This window comes from Homo sapiens, chromosome 1 (genome assembly GCF_000001405.40).
Source record: "Homo sapiens chromosome 1, GRCh38.p14 Primary Assembly".
In the NCBI taxonomy this organism is placed as follows: Eukaryota; Metazoa; Chordata; class Mammalia; order Primates; family Hominidae; genus Homo; species Homo sapiens.
Genome location: NC_000001.11, coordinates 12,193,695 through 12,211,966, shown reverse-complemented (window position 1 = coordinate 12,211,966; position 18,272 = coordinate 12,193,695). Strand labels below are relative to the sequence as shown.

General features: G+C 54.1%; 1 protein-coding gene across 6 annotated transcripts in view, besides 6 other annotated features; it reads right to left on the bottom strand.

The window, feature by feature from the left end:
* Window positions 1,409-1,488: a silencer, noted in NCBI's record as "silent region_286". NCBI's record gives its function as "represses an Ori minimal core promoter by ATAC-STARR-seq in GM12878 lymphoblastoid cells {active_cell/tissue: GM12878}" and the evidence as "EXISTENCE:reporter gene assay evidence [ECO:0000049][PMID:35858748]".
* Window positions 2,747-18,272, bottom strand: part of TNFRSF1B (TNF receptor superfamily member 1B) — a 42,230-nt gene continuing 26,704 nt past the window's right edge. For 3 of the 6 annotated variants that reach the window (XM_011542060.3, XM_047429424.1, XM_047429423.1), the window contains exons 7-11: window positions 17,935-18,012; window positions 17,349-17,383; window positions 9,796-10,000; window positions 9,395-9,460; window positions 2,747-5,230 (exon numbers count right to left, since the gene is read on the bottom strand). In XM_011542060.3, coding sequence (XP_011540362.1) covers window positions 4,947-5,230; window positions 9,395-9,460; window positions 9,796-10,000; window positions 17,349-17,383; window positions 17,935-18,012 — 668 coding nt within the window. In that variant the 3' untranslated portion in view covers window positions 2,747-4,946. The remainder of the gene's footprint in view (window positions 5,231-9,394; window positions 9,461-9,795; window positions 10,001-17,348; window positions 17,384-17,934; window positions 18,013-18,272) is intronic. The other 3 variants (XM_047429422.1, XM_011542063.3, NM_001066.3) reach the window with 3 other exon arrangements.
* Window positions 4,477-4,977: an enhancer, noted in NCBI's record as "H3K4me1 hESC enhancer chr1:12267047-12267547 (GRCh37/hg19 assembly coordinates)". NCBI's record gives its function as "activates a minimal SCP1, AML or CMV promoter by ChIP-STARR-seq in naive and primed H9 embryonic stem cells {active_cell/tissue: H9 hESC(naive and primed)}" and the evidence as "EXISTENCE:reporter gene assay evidence [ECO:0000049][PMID:30033119]".
* Window positions 9,343-9,876: an enhancer, noted in NCBI's record as "H3K27ac-H3K4me1 hESC enhancer chr1:12262148-12262681 (GRCh37/hg19 assembly coordinates)". NCBI's record gives its function as "activates a minimal SCP1, AML or CMV promoter by ChIP-STARR-seq in primed H9 embryonic stem cells {active_cell/tissue: H9 hESC(primed)}" and the evidence as "EXISTENCE:reporter gene assay evidence [ECO:0000049][PMID:30033119]".
* Window positions 9,877-10,411: an enhancer, noted in NCBI's record as "H3K27ac-H3K4me1 hESC enhancer chr1:12261613-12262147 (GRCh37/hg19 assembly coordinates)". NCBI's record gives its function as "activates a minimal SCP1, AML or CMV promoter by ChIP-STARR-seq in primed H9 embryonic stem cells {active_cell/tissue: H9 hESC(primed)}" and the evidence as "EXISTENCE:reporter gene assay evidence [ECO:0000049][PMID:30033119]".
* Window positions 9,909-9,958: an enhancer, noted in NCBI's record as "active region_211". NCBI's record gives its function as "activates an Ori minimal core promoter by ATAC-STARR-seq in GM12878 lymphoblastoid cells {active_cell/tissue: GM12878}" and the evidence as "EXISTENCE:reporter gene assay evidence [ECO:0000049][PMID:35858748]".
* Window positions 9,950-10,148: a silencer, noted in NCBI's record as "fragment chr1:12261876-12262074 (GRCh37/hg19 assembly coordinates)". NCBI's record gives its function as "represses an EF-1alpha promoter that drives an FKBP-Casp9 reporter gene in an ReSE screen in HepG2 liver carcinoma cells {active_cell/tissue: HepG2}" and the evidence as "EXISTENCE:reporter gene assay evidence [ECO:0000049][PMID:32094911]".

Below are 18,272 nucleotides of genomic sequence, written 5' to 3'. Positions count from 1 at the left end.
AAAAATTAGCTGGGCGTGGTGGTGTCACCTATAATCCCAGCTACTCGGGAGGCTGAGGCAGGAGAATCGCTTGAACCCGGGAGGCAGAGCTTGCAGTGAGCCGAGATCGCACCACTGCACTCCAGCCTGGGTGACAGAGCGAGACTCCATCTCAAAAAATAAATAAATAAATAAATAAAATTAAAAGATAAATAGAAAGAGTGGGAGACTGAGTGAATAGGAGCTGGTAGGCTGCATAACCAATGGTTGTCTTTGCCCCTGCAAAGACATTGATGTCTGAATTCCTGAAACCTGGCCAAGATGCTAAGACGAGGAGAGTGTCCTGGATTTTCTGGGTGGTCCGTTGTAATTACAGGTGTCCCTACACTTGGGAGGCAAAGGGAGATCTGACTTCTGAAGAGATTCCGTTGCTATCTCTGAAGATGGACGAAGGGGCCATAAGTCAAGGAATGCAGGTACCGCTGGAAGCTGAAGGCAAGGAATCAGATTCTCCCCTAAAGCCTCCAAGAACAAATTCCCCATTTGAGCCTAGCAGGCCTGGCAACACCTTGCTTTTATACTTCTGGCTCCCAGAGCTGTAGGAGAATGAAATTGTATTGTTTTAAGCCACTGAGTTTGTGTGGTTTGTTATAGCAACAACAGGAACTAATATATCGGGGAGGGGACCTGTTGTCACTGCTGGGCAGCACCAAGGACCCCCATAGAATTTATTCTTTTTTTCCATCCCCCAGGCTGGAGTGCAGTGGCAAGATCTCAGCTCACAACAACCTCCGCCTCCTGGGCTCAAGCAATCCTCCCACTTCAACCTCATGGGTAGCTGGGATTCCAGGTACGTGCCACCGCACCCAGCTAGTTTCTGTATTTTTCTGTGGAGATGAGGTTTCACCATGTTGCCCCAGGCTGGTCTTGAACTCCTGAGCTCAAGCAGTCTGCCCACCTCAGCCTCCCAAAGTGCTGGGATTACAGGCATAAGCCACTGTGCCCAGCCAAGTCTAATGATCATGAAATGAAAACGCGACCAGCCAGCATGGTGGAAGGCCATCATCCTGCCCCAGCCAGGTGCAGACGTGCAGGTGTGGCACAGGCAGAGAGCTGGGTTCAACCAGAGAGAGAACAACAAACCAGGAGAAAGTGCCGTGGGTGCGTACAAGGGAGAAAACGTAACCAACAGCTGCAGGTGCCACTGAGGGAGAAAGACAGGAGGAAGTAGGGGTGGGGGGAAGTGGGATGCTTGAAATTGAGATTAGCGTGCAGTTATCAGTAATGCCAGGCTCTAAGGCACTGGCATGGGCACACCCCGAAGGCCACATCCGCCTCCTGCCCATTCTTTCATGTCCTGTGCACAGCTGTTTTCACACTTCAACAGCACAGGTGAGTGGTTGTTGCAGAAACTGTAAGGCCTGCCAAGTGTAAAATATTGATTCTGGTCAGGCGCAATGGCTCACACCTGTAATCCCAGCAGTTCAGGAGGCCCAGGCCGGTGGATCACTTGAGCCCAGGAGTTCGAGACCAGCCTGGGCAACACAGGGAAACCCAAAAAATAAAAATAAAAAAATTTAAAATTTAGCTCGGCATAGTGGTCCATGCCTGTAGTCCTAGCTGCTCAAGAGGCTGCGACTGGAGGTCAGGGCTGCAGTGAGCCACGATCACATTTCAGCTTGGGTAACAGAGTGAGACCTTGTCTCAAAAAATTAAAATAAATTTGCTCCCTGGCTCTTTATGGAATAAGTGTGGGGAGCCTTGGTCAAGGGTTGAGTGACTGAGACAGGCTGGAGGACAGGACCATGGAGGAGAGGAGGGCGAGAAGCCAGGAGGCGGGGCGTTCCATCAATCACAGATCCTATAATCACCAAGAATGAAAATGGTCCCACTGAGGGAGTCACAGGAGCTGGAGTGACGATGGTGACCCAGGGGGTCAGTGGAACCAATACACAGGCCAAGGTCTCTCTCCCCTCCAAGGCTTTCTTCTAATTAATTGATTTTATTTATTTATTTTATTTGGAGACAGACTCTTACTCTGTCACCCAGGCTGGAGTGCAGTGGCCCGATCTCAGCTCACTGCAACCTCTGTTGCCTTGATTCAAGCAATTCTCGTGCCTCGGCCTCCTGACTAGCTGGGATTATAGGTGCATACCGTCATGCCCAGCTAATTTTTTGTATTTTTGGTAGAGATGGGGTTTCACCATGCTGGCCAGGCTAAGGCCTTTAAACTCAGAACTCCTTTTGCCTGACAGTTCCCTGCAATCCTTTGTTCTGGAAAACTGCTGCTCATCCCTCAGGAGGAGGTCAGAGGTCATCTCCAGAACCCTGTTCTAACCTCCTACCTGGGCCCAGGGATGTCCTCTGGGCCCCCAAAACCCTGTACTGGTCTGAGTATCCCAGGGGCAACCACTCTCCCCGAGTGGGGTCCCCAGGAGGGCAGAGCCTGGCTGCCTAGGCTGCTAGGGATCTGCAGAGACCCCATCCCGGTCCTGAGAGCAGGCCCAGGAGACCTGGAGGATGAAGGCATGAGACCAGGGCACACTTGGAACCCAGCCAGCTGTGTGGTCCCGAGCAGGAAGTTCTCTTATGGTTCACAGGCTTGAGGGGGCGGCTGTAACAGGGGTCCCTCTGTGGTCCAGTCACAACAGGGGCCAGCCAGACTCCAGGGACCGTGACGCCATCTCCCCTTACACAGGGGTGGCAGACAAGTAGGAGCATGGACAAACCCAAGCCCAGACCCCAGGCAGAGCCAGGGGTCGACGTGTAAAACAAACAGGTTTATTGATAAGCAGGAATGCCGTCCAGCATACAGTGCAAACTTTCATTGTCTTGGGATCAACACACACACACAAGGGAACCAAGGCCCCACAGAGTCTCCAAATTCATCGCTTCCCGGCTCTGCCCTGTGATGCCAAGGAAGCCTGAGGTTCTCCCAGGACTGTCCACCAGGGGGCAGGTGCGCTCCATCATGTCCTCATGTGGGTCCAATGTGGGCAGAAACCTGGCCAGTCCCAGCAGTCTGACTTTTTTTTTCTTTAAGAGACAGGGTCTCACTCTGTTGCTCAGGCTGGAGTGTAGTGGCGCGATCATAGCTCGCTGCAGCCTCAAACTCCTGGGCTCCAGTGATCCTCCCCTCAGCCTCCTGAGTACAGGTGCACGTCACTGCAGCCAGCCAGTCTGACATCTTGATTCCAGGGTGGAAAACCCTTCTTGTCTCCATGGTAATGGCTGGGCTCTCCCACCCTCCAATAGTTCAGCTGCCAAGCTCAAGTCCAGTGGAATTTATCAACAATTTATCACCCTGCCCCTGCTCTGCTAGACAATTTCATGCCTTCTCCTTTATCCCCATGCTCCTGAGACTGAGCCTTTCCAGGAGCCCCTCAACCTGCTTCCTCCCAGAATCCGGGCAAGGCTACACTGGTTTCCCCTCTGCAGGGCCCTGGCCCTGGGAGGGGGAAGGCTGACTCTAATGGGGAGGAATCCCAGCTTCAGTGGCTTCAAGGCAGGCCATTCAACTTACCGACCTTGGCTACACACACCCACGACACGCAACACAGACGCAGACACAAGACTGGCACTTGGGATCACACTGGCCATGTACCAAAGTGGCAGGGCAGCCCGTTTGGGGCCCAGGAATTGAAGGTGGGGAGTGGGGAAGAGGAACCCACCCCTCTGGGGGAGGAGGAGGGTCTAGGCTGAGGTAGGAGTAGAGAGATGGCTACGAGGACTCAGTCATCTCTAGTTCCTGAAATTCCCTGAAAGGAGATGGTGTGGCCTAGGACAGCAAGGAAGGAGGCGCGGGGCTGCAGGCACACCGGAGTGAAGGCGGAGGGTGCAAATGGCAGGTGGGGGGTTGGATGTGGCTGGCAGAGTTTGGCTTTGTCGTTGGCTTGTTGGCCTGAGTGGTACTTACTTTTTTAAAAAATTGGCAGATTTCTAGTTAGAAGTGCGTTATCTTGCCCAGGCCACAGCACTGAATATGGTGGCCTGCCTGGGCCCTCTGGGCATCTGACTTTCACACCATGGTACAAAAGGACAAGTTGGCATTTGGAGGCGGTGCTTTTTTTTTTCTTTTGAGACAGACTCTCGCTCTGTCGCCCAGGCTGGAGTGCAGTGGCGTGATCTCGGCTCCCTGCAACCTCCGCTTCCCGGGTTCAAACGATTTCCCAGCCTCAGGCTTCTGAGTAGCTGGGACTATAGGTGCCCGCCACCACGCCCGGCTAATTTCTGTATTTTTAGTAGAGATGGGGTTTTACCATGTTGGCCAGGCTGGTCTCGAACTCCTAACCTCAGGTGATCCACCCGCCTCAGCCTCCCAAAGTGCTGGGATCATAGGCGTGAGCCACTGCACCTGGCCTGAGGTGATGCTTTCCAAGCCTCCTGAGCTAACTTGAAGGACCCCGTTCCCTACAGGGCTGCCACCTCCTCCCTGCACAGAGCCCCAGGACCATCCCGCAGTCTCAGCCTCAGGCTGAAGCACTGTCCTGTCTTCATGGGTGACTCAGGCAGCATCCCTCCTCTCCAGAAAGCCCCTCTGCAGAAAAGGATGCTGGGGTTTTCTGGAAGCCAGAGCTGGGGCAGAGCCCAGGGGGAGAAACAAACAAACAAACAAACAAACAAACAAAAAACCCAAGGGCTCCAGAAGCCAGGCTGGCAGGTGCAGCTGGGCGGGGCAGGTCACAGAGAGTCAGGGACTTGCCCCAGCATGCCCCGAACGTCCATGCCCAGCCAGCCTTCCGAGAGGGACACGCCATGGCAGCAGAGGCTTTCCACAACTCGCTGCCTCTGCTCTTGGCCTGCAGGTCAGAGGGAGGCTGCGGCTGTGGAGGGCACTAGAGGAACTTGGCCCAGAAAGAGCCTCAGAGTCCTAGTGGTGGGGGCCTGGAAGGACCAGGGCCCCTTCGCAGGGTCATCCTGCCAGGGCTCAGCCCACCTTGGCTACGACACAGCCCACACCGGCCTGGTTAACTGGGCTTCATCCCAGCATCAGGCACTCCAAGGGGCAGGGGCTTCTCTTCGGTGCTCCCCAGCAGGGTCTCTGGCGTCTCCAGCTGTGACCGAAAGGCACATTCCTCCTTGGAGAAGGGGACCTGCTCGTCCTTCGGGGACTCCGAGGGGCTGGAATCTGTGTCTCCCATTGTGGAGCTGGCTTGGGAGGAGCACTGTGAGCTGTGGTCAGAGCTGCTACAGACGTTCACGATGCAGGTGACATTGACCTGGGTCCCATGGCCACCAGGGGAAGAATCTGCTAAGCACAAGATGGGGTGGGGGTCAGTCCGGGGGTCCAGGAGTGGGGCCCAGGGACCCCTGCCCAAGATGCAGATTCAGACACATGGGAAAGAGCACTGGGCCAGGAGCCGAGACCAAGATTCTAGCCCAGCTCTGCTGTGTGACCTTGAGCAAGTCACTTAACCTGCATGTGCCTCATTTTCCCCTCTGCCGAATAAGAATAGCATCACTACCTACCCAGCCCCAATCACCCCAGAGATGGGAGGAGCCAATTATATAAAACAGATGTCTACTTGGGAGGCCAAGTTTGTAGGATCGCTTGAGCCCAGGAGTTCAAGACCAGACTGGGCAACATAGTGAGACCCTGTCTCTTCTGTCTTTTTTTTTTTTTTTTTTGAGACAGGGTCTCAAAAGAGTGCTGTGTCACTCCCTCAACTCACTGTGACCTCTGCCTCCCGGCCTCAAGTGATCCTCCCACATCAGCCTCCTGAATAGCTGGGACTACAGGCCACCGCACCCTGCTAATTTTTTGTAGAGACAGGGTTTCGCCAGGTTGCCTGGGTTGGTCTCGAACACCTGACCTCAAAGAATCTGCCTACCTCAGCCTCGCAAAGCGCTGAGATTACAGGTGTGAGCCACCGTGCTCAGCCTCCAACTTAACTCTTGATTCTACTCCCATCTCGCATCCAAAACCTCTCCTGCTCATCACAGTTCCCATTGCTGCCATCCACCCAGCTGCTTGGGCCCAGAGCCTCGGACCCATCTTTCTCTCATATCACACACCCATCCATCATTCCTGCCTTGTCTCCCTTCAAAAGATGACTTCTGGACCAGGCAGGGTGGCTCACGCCTGTAATCCCAGCACTTTGGGAGGCCAAGGCAGGTGGATCGCCTGAGGTCAGGAGTTTGAGACCAGCCTGGCCAACATGGTGAAACTCTGTCTCTACTCAAAATACAAAAAAAAAAATTAGCCGGGTATGGTGGCAGGTGCCTATAATCCCAGCTACTCGGGAGGCTGAGGCAGGAGAATAGCTTGAACCCAGGCTACGGAGGTTGCAGTGAGCCGAAATCACGTCACTTCACTCCAGCCTGGGCGAAAGAGCCAAACTCCATCTCAAAAACAAACAAAAACAAAAGATGACTTCTGCAAGGGTCACCCTGCCCTGCTGCTGCATGGTGGGCTATGGAAGCCTCCCCTCACTCCCATCTGGATGGGTGTGAACAGCCTCCATCTGTCCTGGCTTCAACCCCACCCCTCTGAAATCTGTTTCCCATCAGCAGCCAGAGCTGGCCCTTGAACCTGGCAGATCACTTCCTTGGGGGCTCAAAAACCCACAGTCCTTGCTACAGCCTACCAGGCCCTGTCTGATCTGGAGCCTGCCTTCTCCCACCCCCTCTCCTGCCGCTCCAAGACCTTGATGGGGTTCCTTCCAGCCACATTCCCCACCCCCTGCTACAGCCCCTTGAGCCCTTCAGGTCCCCTGGGCCTTTGCACAGGCCGCTCCCTCAGCCTAGAGAGCTCTTCTCTAGTGCTCAGGCCTTAGCTCAAAGGCCACCTCCTCCACGAAGCGCCCTCCACCCCCTGGCCTCCCTCTCTAGAGACATTTACTTCCCATCCTATCCACCACTCTCTGGGTCCCTCCCCATTTCTGTGATCTCCTGATCTCCAGAGCCCCCAGCTCCTGGGGTCCCCAACCAGACTCTGAACCCAGGAGGGTAGGGACTTTTTTTTTTATTTTTTTAGTAGAGACGGGGGTCTTGCTATGTTGCCCAGGCTAGTCTCGAACTCCTGGGCTCAAGTGATCCTCCTGCCTTGGCCTCCTGAAGTACTGAGATTACAGGCATGAGCCACCTTGCCTGGCCAGACCAGGGACTTTTTGATTGTTCCCTGCTGTGTTCCTAGTGCCTGTAACAGGGACAAGTCTACGGGTTTTTTTGTTGGTGGTGGTGGTGGTGGTGGTGGTGATGTTTTTAAGTGAATTGATTACCAACATTTAAAATTCAGGCGTTTACATTTAAAAATCTGGATTTATGGCTTCCCTTGGGAGCCAGATGCAGGAGATCCGGCCAAGGACAGCCCAAGGTTTGCCTCACCTTCCTGCCCAGCCCCTGTGGGCAACTGAGTTTTCTAACTGGTTGGGGAGGCACTGGACGGTGGGTTTGCTGAGATGAATATGAAGGGACTGGCATACAGTAAGTAGCCCCCTCAGAAAATGAGAGTTGCTGCTGCTGTTGCTGCAGGGGCCTGCTGAGTGCCCTCACCCCAGCCTGGTTCTCCCTAACTCCAACTACTCGGATAGGGTAGCCGGGAGGTGGATGGAGCTGGCAACCTGCTGTGCTCAAAACAGCCCCAAGCATGTGGTGGGGGAGGAGGGTTGAAATCACAAGGCCGGAAGGAAATTTCCACCCTGAGCCTCCACAGCACCCAAATGTCACCCAAAGTCACCATGGCCTTTGTATATCGAGCATGAGACATTGCGGGGGTGGATGGGGGACCATGAAGGGGCACAACCCTGGGGTTTACAGGTTCCCACAGTGGAGGGAGGTGTTAGGGGTGGGAGGGAGAGAAAGAGAAGACAGAGGCCAGGGACACGGGCTGGGGGACTCGGGAGAAGGAGCACAGAGCAGAAGGGGCAGAGGGGAGAGGGGAGGGCAGACATGGTCAGGGCTCCACCCTGGCCCAAGGAGGGAGCCACACCAGGTGTAGCTAAGAAATCAGAAAGATGGGCTGCGCATGTTGGCTCACGCCTGTAATCCCAGCCCTTCGGGAGGCCGAGGCAGATGGATCACCTGAGGTCAGGATTTCGAGACCAGTCTGGCCAACATGGTGAAACTCCATCTCTACTAAAAGTACAAAAGTTAGCCAGGCGTGATGGCACATGCCTGTAATCCCGCCTACTCGGGAAGCTGAGGTGGGAGGATCACTTGAACCTGGGAGGCGGAGGCTGCGGTGAGCAGATAAGTCAGCCAAGACTGCGCCACTGCACTCCAGCCTAGGCGACGAGCGAGACCCCATTTAAAAAAAAAAAATCAGACGAATCCAAGAACTGGGCAAAGACTAAGAGTTTATAATTGGAGCGCACTCATTCATTCATTCATTCAACAGTGTGTAGGGCCCCTGATCTCTTCCAGGCACTGGCCCAGGCCCTCCCATAGGGAGTTCTCAGGATGGAGTGAGGGGCACTGATGAGACCTCCCACCGAGGAGGCTGGGGGCTATGATGGGGCAGACAGAAATGGCCACGTCAGCTCCTGTGGGCAGTTGGGGGCAGGTAGGAACAGGTGTGGCAGGCAGGGGTGGCATGAGTGCAGGCAAGAGGCAGGGGCGCAGTGAGCTGGGGAGCAGCTGGGGGTGAGTGAGCTGGAGGAGGGCTGCGTGGTGGGGGCTGCAGCCATCAGTCCCCACCTGGAGGCGGCCCAGAGGGAGCCTGGCCCTGGTCTGGTGCCCAGCTGGGCACAATGTCACCCATCTCTCACCAGCCCTGGCAAGGAGGCGCTATAGCTCACCTCTAGGTGAAAAAACCAAGGCTTGGCAGGGTTAAGCATCCCACCCAAATTCTTATGGCACCAGAGTGGCCAGGCAAGGATCTCAGACTGACCCAAGTTCATGGTCATTCCCTGAATTCTCACTGGCTGGCACTGCCAGGTAAGAGGGAGAGAGGCACAGGCCAGCAGACCCTGTACAGGGGCCCCTCCAGTGTGGGCCCTAGAGATGCCAACCAGGAGTGACATCTGTCATAGACCAGGTCCAGGGCACAATGCAGCCTGCATAAATGGGACACAATCCCCACAGTCCCAGTGCCTCAGACCTAAAGAGACCCAGCAACAAACTGCAGTGAGTGGAGCCCTGGAGCCACCATTTCTTCATTCATCTTCCAATCCCAGGGCTCTGGAGCCCGACAGCCTAGGGGTGAGTCTGGCTCTTCTGTTTACTAGCCATGTGCCCTTGAAGAAGCTGTTTAACCTCTCTGGGGCTCAGTTTCCTCATCTGTAAAATGGGATAACAACAGGAACTATCTCTTAGCATTGACATGCAGGTCAGTTTTATGCATGTAAAGTGCCCAGTACAGTGCCTGCTGTTCCGTAGCCTTCCATAAGTAGAAGCGATTGTTATGATTAATTATCAGTAGCTGGGCCGTGTTGGGCCTGCAGATACAGGGATGAATGAGATGATCCAGGCTCACCAGGTGTCCCACAGCCTGGCGTGGGAGACAGGAGAAGACAATGTCTGTACATGCAGTCTGACAGTCCTGTGAAAGGGAGGCCAGGGCATGGTGAGCCCGGAGGAGCAGCCAGGCCAGCTGGGGGTGGTAGCAGGGAGAAGGTTTCAGGAAAACTCCTCCCCCAGATACCAGGGACTTGGACAAGCTGGGGTTGTCCCACAGAAGGGAGGATTTTGAGGTGATAGGCCCAGCATGGGCAAAGGCGGGAGGGAACTTAGGTTCAGCGAACCGAAGGAAGTTCCCTGTGGCTCAGGCCTCGTCCCACCCTGCGGGGAGGCTCAGGAGGAGATGGCTAAGACAGAAACCAGGTGAGAAAGACCAAGGAGGCTTGGGAAGAAGCCAGGTGTGCTCCCACCTCTTACCTGAGCTCCCGGTGCTGGCCCGGGCCTCCCCGGCCCCACTGGCCTCCACGCCTGGTGCCTGTGGCTGGTTCCGAGTGGGCGCCCTTCTGTCCAACGCACTGGCCGAGCTCTCCAGGGAGCTGCTGCTGGAGCTCGGCGCTGTGATCAGCAGGTGCTGCTGCTCGGGGCCCTGTGTACCCCGGGCCTTATCGGCAGGCAAGTGAGGCTGGATGGGCAGGGGGTGGTAGGGGAGAGCAGTCAGCCCACCAGCCAGCTCTTTCTTCCCCTCTTCCTTCCCACTGCCATCCACACCTCCTGCCATCAGCACTTCTCAGTTTACGTGACGTTTCTGCCCACCCTTGCACGTTCTTTCCACACACGGCACTTTTTGGGAGGTGTGATTCTCCGTGGTTTCTGTGTTTCTGTTATTAGCACCCAGCTGCTCTACTAGAGTGTCCTATGAGGGCAGAGAATACCTGGCCCTGTTCACCAAATAGTCTTAGAGGTGGGGCAGGATTTTCATCCTTATTTTGCATAAGGGAGTAGAAGGAAAGCAGCTTTCCTTCACCCCATCTGCACAGGGAGACATGGCCCAGCCTAGCAACCAAGAGTGTGGACTCTAAACCCAGGCCACACAAGTGCAAATCATGACTCTACCACTCACTTGCTGTGTGACCTTGGACAAGTTACTTAACCTCTCTGTGCCTTTTTTTTTTTTTTTACTCTATAAAGGGAGAATAATAGCCTACCTCATAGGGTTGTTGTGAAGATTAGATGGCTGAATATTTGTAAAGTGCTTAAAACAATGCCTATTACATAGTAAACTCCATACAAGAGTTTGTTAAATCAGAACTAGGCAAATGATTGCCCAGAGGCCCAGTACAGCCTGCCACTAAGAATGGTTTTCACTTTTTTTTTTTTTTTTTTTTTTTGAGACAGGGTCTCACCCTGTTGCTCAGGCAGGAGTGGAGTGGCACAATCATAGCTGACTATAGCCCTCGATTTTCCAGGCTCAAGTGATCCTCCTGCCTCAACCTCCTGAGTAGCTGAGACCACAGGCACGTGTCACTGCTCCTGGCTAATTTTTTTGTTGTCGATTGTTTGTAGAGACAGGGTTGTGCTATGTTACCCAGGCTGGTCTTGTACTCCTGGGCTCAAGCCATCCTCCTACCCTGGCCTCCCAAAGTGCTGGGATACCAGGCGTGCACCACCACACCCCACTGGTTTTCATGTTTTAAATGGTTGAAAAAAAAATGTTTAAGAATAATTTGTGGCCAGGCTTGGTGGCTCATGCCTGTAATCCCAACACTTTGGGAGGCTGAGGCAGGCGGATCACCTGAGGAAGGGAGTTGGGGACCAGCCTGACCAACATGGCAAAACCCCGTCTCTACTAAAAATACAAAATTAGCTGGCGTGGTGGCTCATGCCTGTAATCCCAGCTACTCAGGAGGCTGAGGCAGGAGAATCGCTTGAACCTGGGAGGCAGAGGTTGTGGTGAGGCGAGATCGAGCCACTGCACTCCAGGCTGGGCAACAAGAGTGAAACTCCATCTCAAAAAAAAAGAATAATTTGCGGCACATGGAATGGTGGGAAGCTCAAGTTTGGGTGTCCAGTAGCACAATTAGATAGGAACACACCACTCTCAGTTGGGTGTGTGCTGTCTATGCATGTAGCTGCTTTCTTGCTACAGAGGCAGGTTTGAGTAGCTGTCACTGAGACCATACAGTCCACAAAGCCTGAAATTCCTACCATCTGGCCCTTTACAGAGAAAGCGTGCAGACCTTTGCGCTCAGTCAATCATTCCGGGGCAGAGAGCGCTCACGTCTGAGACCCTCTGCTGCACTGCCTCAGCCTCTTGTTCCAGAGTCCGCCCACAGGCTGCTCTGCAACTTCCCCTGATGTCTTCTTCCCGTAGAATAATAATAATATTATTAGCTGACATTTGAGTGCCACCCAATGCCATGCACTGTACCTACATCCCTCCAGACAATATCTATATTGATTCTTCCAACAACCCAGTGTTATCCTTGCTTTGTGGAAACTGAGGCACGGAGAGATTGAGTTACTTGCCCAAGGTCACGGTTAGGACATACTGTGGCTGGGCTAAATCCCAAAGGGCCTTTCCTGGGTGTCTGGGGTTTCAACTCTGGAGGCTCAAGGCAAGGTCCCCATTTCCAGACACGCACACTGAAGAGAGGCTGGAAATTCCTCTCCCAGGCTGTTGTCTGTTCCCACTGGCTGGCCAGGCGCTCACACCCTTGCCTTGGAATTCTAAGCGATTGTTTTCTGATCCCAGCAAAAAAGGAGATGGCACAGGCCACATTCCCAACAGCTGCCCTGGCCCCTGGCCTGCCCAGGATGAAAACAAGTGTCCCAGGCAGAAAGAAGGAGGGTAGAGATGAGTGAAGGGCTGATGGGGCTCGCCAGCACTGCAGCGGGAGGTGAGAGCAGGGGTGGAGCGAGCAGCGCAGGTGCCACCGCCCCCCAAGAAAGGCTGAGACCTCCTGCCTCCCTCCAGAGGGAGCTACAATTCCAGATGTGGTCTGAGAACAGATGCGAGTACCAGGGTCCTCTCTGTCCAATCCCTGCAGCCCCCGGCTCCCATGGCTTCTCGGACACCTGAGCGCCACCTGCACCCTTAATTCCCCAAGGCCACAGCCTCTCACTCAGGACTGGAGGGATCTCGTGCAAGCCATCCCCAAGAGGCCACGGAGGCCCAGAGAAAGTGCATCCTGTGCCCAGCATCACACAGCTGGTCCGTGGCAGGAGCAGAAGCCTAGACCAGCTTCCCCAGGAACCCCCACACCCTCCCTGGGCTGGGTCCCCCAGTTTTGGAGAGATGGAGGGCATTGCAAGTTCATGCTGAACCTCCGCCCAGGTGGTCTGACCCTGGTCACTGCCCACAACTGCCCCCCAGCCCTGCTCTGAGCCTGGAAGGGGAGGAGAAGCAGCCAATTGTCACTCCTCACAACCCCACAAAAGGGGTTTTTCTGGCCTGTGCCCCACCCCCTCTGCTGGTGGCTACAGCCAGGCAGAACAAAAACCCCCAAAGGTCACGGCCACCTCCCTCCTCCCAAGCCACAAGTCGCAAAGTTCAAGCAGCCCCAGGTGGCACAGAAGCAGGCTGAGTCCTATTCCTTGGGCTGGGACCCCAGTAGAGCCGAGTACTGAGGAGCCTCATTCAAAACACAGGATCCCAGGGCCGGGCGCAGTGGCTCACACCTGTAATCCCAGCACTTTGGGAGGCCGAGGTGGTCACCGAATCACGAGGTCAGGAGATTGAGACCATCCTGGCTAACAAGGTGAAACCCCGTCTCTACTAAAAATACAAAAAATTAGCTGGGCGAGCTGGTGGGTGCCTGTAGTCCCAGCTACTTGGGAGGCTGAGGCAGGAGAATGGTGTGAACCCGGGAGGCGGAGCTTGCAGTGAGCCAAGATTGTGCCACTGCACTCCAGCCTGGGCGACAAAGCAAGACTCTTTCTCAAAAAAAAAAAAAAAAACAGAATTCCAGCCAGCCAGCCAGCCAGCCAGCACCCTCAGCTCCCGGCCCCTCCTGGCCCAGCCCTGCTGGGCAGAAGCAGAGACCCAGCAGAGCCACGGGCCAGGTCCTCCAGGTTCCTGCTGTGTCCGTCTGTTTGTGTGTTCACAAGGCTCACACACCTGTGTCTACAGGCGTGAGGGTGTGAAGCGTGCACACGTGTGTCTATGTTGGGGGCATGTGTGCATATCTGTGAGTGACGTAGTGAGTGTGTGCGCTGGGGTGGCGAGGAGAGACACTCCTAGGTTCGTGTCCCAGGCCGTGATCATTAGCTGTGCCACACTGGGAAAGTTACTAACTTCTCTGGGCCCATGATTCTTGGGCCATATAATGGGGGACAAGAATCATACTGCCTGCGTGTGGCAGCATGGCTGTGAGAATAAAGAACGCTGGGCACAGTGCCTGGCATCCGTTCAACACCCGATAAATGTTCGCACCTGTTATCAGACGTGGGTCCGTGCATGAGTGTGTCCGTGTCCATGGGGGTGATTGTGGGTAAGCTCACATATTGGTTTTTTTTTTTTTTTTTTTTGAGATGGAGTCTCGCTCTATCGCCCAGGCTGGAGTGCAGTGGTGCGATCTCAGTACACTGCAAGCTCCACCTCCCGGGTTCACGCTATTCTGCCTCAGCCTCCGGAGTAGCTGGGACTACGGGCGCCCGCCACCACGCCCGGCTAATTTTTTTTATTTTTAGTAGAGATGGGGTTTCACTGTGTTAGCCAGGATGGTCTCGATCTCCTGACCTCGTGATCCGCCCCCCTCGGCCTCCCAAAGTGCTGGGATTACAGGCGTGAGCCATGGCGCCCGGCCACATGTTGGTGTTTTCTAAACAAAGGAACGCCACTGTCTCCCATGCCCTGGACGTTCTTTCTGTGGCAGGAGGAGCAGGTGGGTGCTGAGTCCACACTCTAAGCCCAGCAGCCCAGCTCAAGAGGACTCTCCACTGGCCTCTTATCAGGAGTAGCTGCTGGTTGAGGAGTAGCGTGGGACACAGGCATAAACCTGATTCAAACCTGGGCTATGCCACTCACCTAATGATCTAATCCTACAGGAAAAATGGAACCTCCCAGAGTCTCAGTTTCCTCCTCTGTAAAATGGGGGTGATGATGCTCCCTGCCCCACAGGGATGCGTGGGGACTCAGTCACAAAGAGCCTGGCAGGGCTCAGCCAGGGCTGTGCTGGGATAAGCTCAGGCCTGTGCAGATTTCCTCCCAACTCCATATTCAGGAAGGTCTTGGGAGTTGGAAACTGGCTACAGTGTGAGTGTTTATACCACAGAAATTAGCAAACACCACAAATCAGGGTTTGGGGGTTTTTTTCTGCACTAGACACACCACTGGGGCACTCAACAGATACTTGAGTCACTCACATTCAGTGAACACTGAGAGCAACAGTGAAAGGAAAGGGGCCAGGCGTGGTGGCTTATGCCTCTCATCCCAGTACTTTGGGAGACCGAGGTGGGCAGATCACTTGAGGTCAGGGGTTTGAGACCAGCCTGGCCAACATGGCAAAACCCCGTCTCTACTAAAAATATAAAAATTAGCCAGGCATGGTGGCGCATGCCCATAGTCCCATCTACTTGGGAGGCTGAGGTGGGATGACCACTCGAACCCGGGAGGCGGAGGCTGCAGTGAGCCAAGAGGGCGCCACTGCACTGCAGCCTGGGCGACATAGCTGTCTCAAAAAAAAAAAAAGAAAGAAAGAAAAAAAAAATGGAAAAGGGAAGCAGAGGCTGCTAGGCCACACCCAGGACATCTTCAGTGCACAGAGGATTGGGAAACGCTTGGTGGGGAAAGGGAAGGTGACAGCTGGGCTGCTGCGGAAGAGCTTGGGGGAGACACCTGCTCTACGCACGCCACCAGGCGGCAACCGTCAGTGTCACTGAATTGAAGCTGGAGAAAGGGAGCAGTGAAACTCGCTCGCCGGGGAATGAGAAAATTTCCTCCCCACTGAAATACTGTAGGGCAGGGCAAAGAGCACTGAGATGGGAGTCCAGAGACACACTGCGGTGCGACCTTGAGCAACTCAGTTTTCCTCCCTGCATCTCTTTTCTTGTCACCAAAATCAGGGGATGAAATCAATCTATCTGATTCCAAACACCTGGTGTAAGCTTCGGGTATTGGGCTGCCCAGGGCTGAGCTGTTCCCTCGAGCAGTGGTTCTCCACTAGGGGTGATTTTGCCCTCCAGGGGACACTTGGTGATGTCTGGAGAATTTTTGATTGTCACCACTGGAGTGGGAATGAGGCTGGCATGTAAGTAAATAAAGACCAAAGATGCTGCTGAATAGCACGGGACAGCCCCCACAACTAAGTAAGATATTTTATTTATTTATTTTATTTTATTTTTTCTTTTGAGATGGAGTCTTGCTCTATTGCCCAGGCTGGAGAGCAGTGGTGTGATCTCAGCTCATTGCAACCTCCACTGCCCGGGTTCAAGCGACTCTCCTGCCTCAGCCTCCCGAGTAGCTGAGACTACAGGCACGTGCCACCACGCCTGGCTAATTTTTCTGTTTTTAGTAGAGATGGGGTTTTACCATGATGGCCAGACTAGTCTTGAACTCCTGACCTCAAGTGATCCATCTACCTCGGCCTTCCAAAGTGCTGGGATTACAGGAGTGAGCCACCGTGCCCAGCCAAGATCCTTTTTAAAAATATTTATTTTATTTAATTTTGTTTAGGGATAGGGTCTCACTGTGTTTCCCAGGCTGGTCTTGAACTCCTAGACTCAAGCAATCCTCCCACCTTGGCCTCCCTTAAGTAAGATGTTGTCTCAAATATCCATGAGGTTGAGAAGTTCTTTCTCTACCTGCCCCTGAGGTCGAGAAAACTCATCAGACTCTGTTTTCTCATCTGTCAAATTGGGTAAAAAACCTGCCCTGCCTACCAGGTGCAAGGCTGTGACAGACGTATGTTCTGGCTCACCCCATACCCACTTCCAACCCCCCTCCCTTGTCCTCCTCCTCCATAGAGGCTGGAAAAGCAAAACACCCTCTTTCCCAGCTTCCCTCGCAGCTAGGGGTGGTCATGTGACACTGTCTGGTCAGTGAGATGAAAGAAGTCTACCCAGGGCTTCTGGGAAGGCATCCGATTTACTGATAAGGGCACCATGGCTGACCTGGCCACCTGCCCCTTCTTCCCACCTCAAACTTAGAGGTGACATATGAAGTGATGATTACCATCTTATGACATGAGGCCACAAACAAGAGAACAAAAGTCAACACACTAAAGATGACAGAGCCTGGGGTCCTGCTGGCACCATGCAAGGGGATAGTGGAGGCCATTCCAGCAGACACCAACCCCTTGACTTCTTACAATGCAAGAAAAATAAAGCCATTTTTTCTAAAGTCACCTGTAGGTTTGGGGTTACTTGCAGCCAAATGCCTTCCTGATGGAGAATGAATGAAATACTATGATATGACACACTGTTGGTCTGTCTCTAACAAAAAGCCTTCGCAGGCCCTACTTTATAAAACAGATCAAAGGTGAGTTGCTTTGGGAGGACCCAGGGCCCAGCCCCACAGCCTCTACCTCAAACCTGAGAGATGACCACTTCCCCCACGCCCAAGGGCCCTCTGTGGGACACTGGGCTATCCCAGAATTCAGTTTGAAAACCACTGCTCTCTGAGAAAGTGCTCTGTAAACACAATGGAGGCAAGGAGAAACATCATTGTCAGCTGACCGAATGGCACCACCCTGCAGGCTGGATCGAGCAGACACAACCCCCATCTCATGGTAAGGAAGTAGCCATAGAGCAATTTCACATCTGCCCAAGGTTGCGCTGTGGGTCCACGACCACGTGCCTGCCACGAACGCCACGAAGGCATCTGCTCTCTGCCGGAGCATTTCACACTCACAGCCTCTCTTAGCCCATGGAGGGCTGCCTGACTCCCCGGCCTTTCCTCCACCTCCCAGGGCTCTGCACACCTCCTGACACTGGACAGACCAATGACAGAATTCACTGCTTCCTCTGTGACAGCCCAGCACGCCGGGAAGGAGACCAGGGGAAGAGGGGGAGAGGGCAGTGGAGACACTCACCACCTTGGCTTCTCTCTGCAGGCACAAGGGCTTCTCTATAAAGAGGAGAGGGGACAAGTAAGAGATTGACTTCCTCAGGCACATCTGTCCTAAGTAGGAGGGCAGTATGGGGCCCCATAGAACCAGCAGAGAGGCCCAGCCCTGTGGGGACCAATCGCCTACCAGACAAGGTCCACAGAAGCCCCCACCCAACTCCACCTGCCACCATCCCAACCATTCTCCAGTCCCCCATCTATACCATCCGCGCCTCCACTGAGGATGCGTGTCCTTCCCTGCACAGACTCCACCCATCAAGATCTTACCCAGCTCAGAGACCACCTGCTGCAGGAAGCCCGAATCCCCCAGGCTTCCTGGATAGGAATCCTGAACTCCTCCTACCCTTTAGAAAACCCTGATCACCTCTTGCCTTTTAGTAATTAAGTTAGCAGAGGTACCTTCACCCCAGGCCTTAAGCTCCTACAGAACAAGGACCCCCATATCCAGCTCTGTCTGACCCCTAAGGCTGTGCCCAGTGCTGGACTCACAGGAGGCACCCCACAAAAGCTTCCTGAACAAGTGGATGAAGGAAGGAAGGATGGACTCTTACTTTTCACCTGGGTCATGATGACACAGTTCACCACTCCTATTATTAGTAGACCCAAGGCTGTCACACCCACAATCAGTCCTAGAAAGAAAAGAGAAGCTCAGACAGCTACAGAAAACAAACTCAAATGTACCAGGGGCCAGCCAGGCAAGCCAGGGACCCAAGGTGCTTCGGGTCATTGCAAATGAGGGGCGAGTCTAGGCCGGAGATTCTCAAATCCAATTACAAAGCAATCATGTCTGTGTGCCTCATTCAGCCTAAGGGCCACTAGTTTGAGACCTCTGGCCTGATGCAGTTCTACCCCAGAATGGAAGCCCCTGGAGGTGACCTGGCCCAGCCCG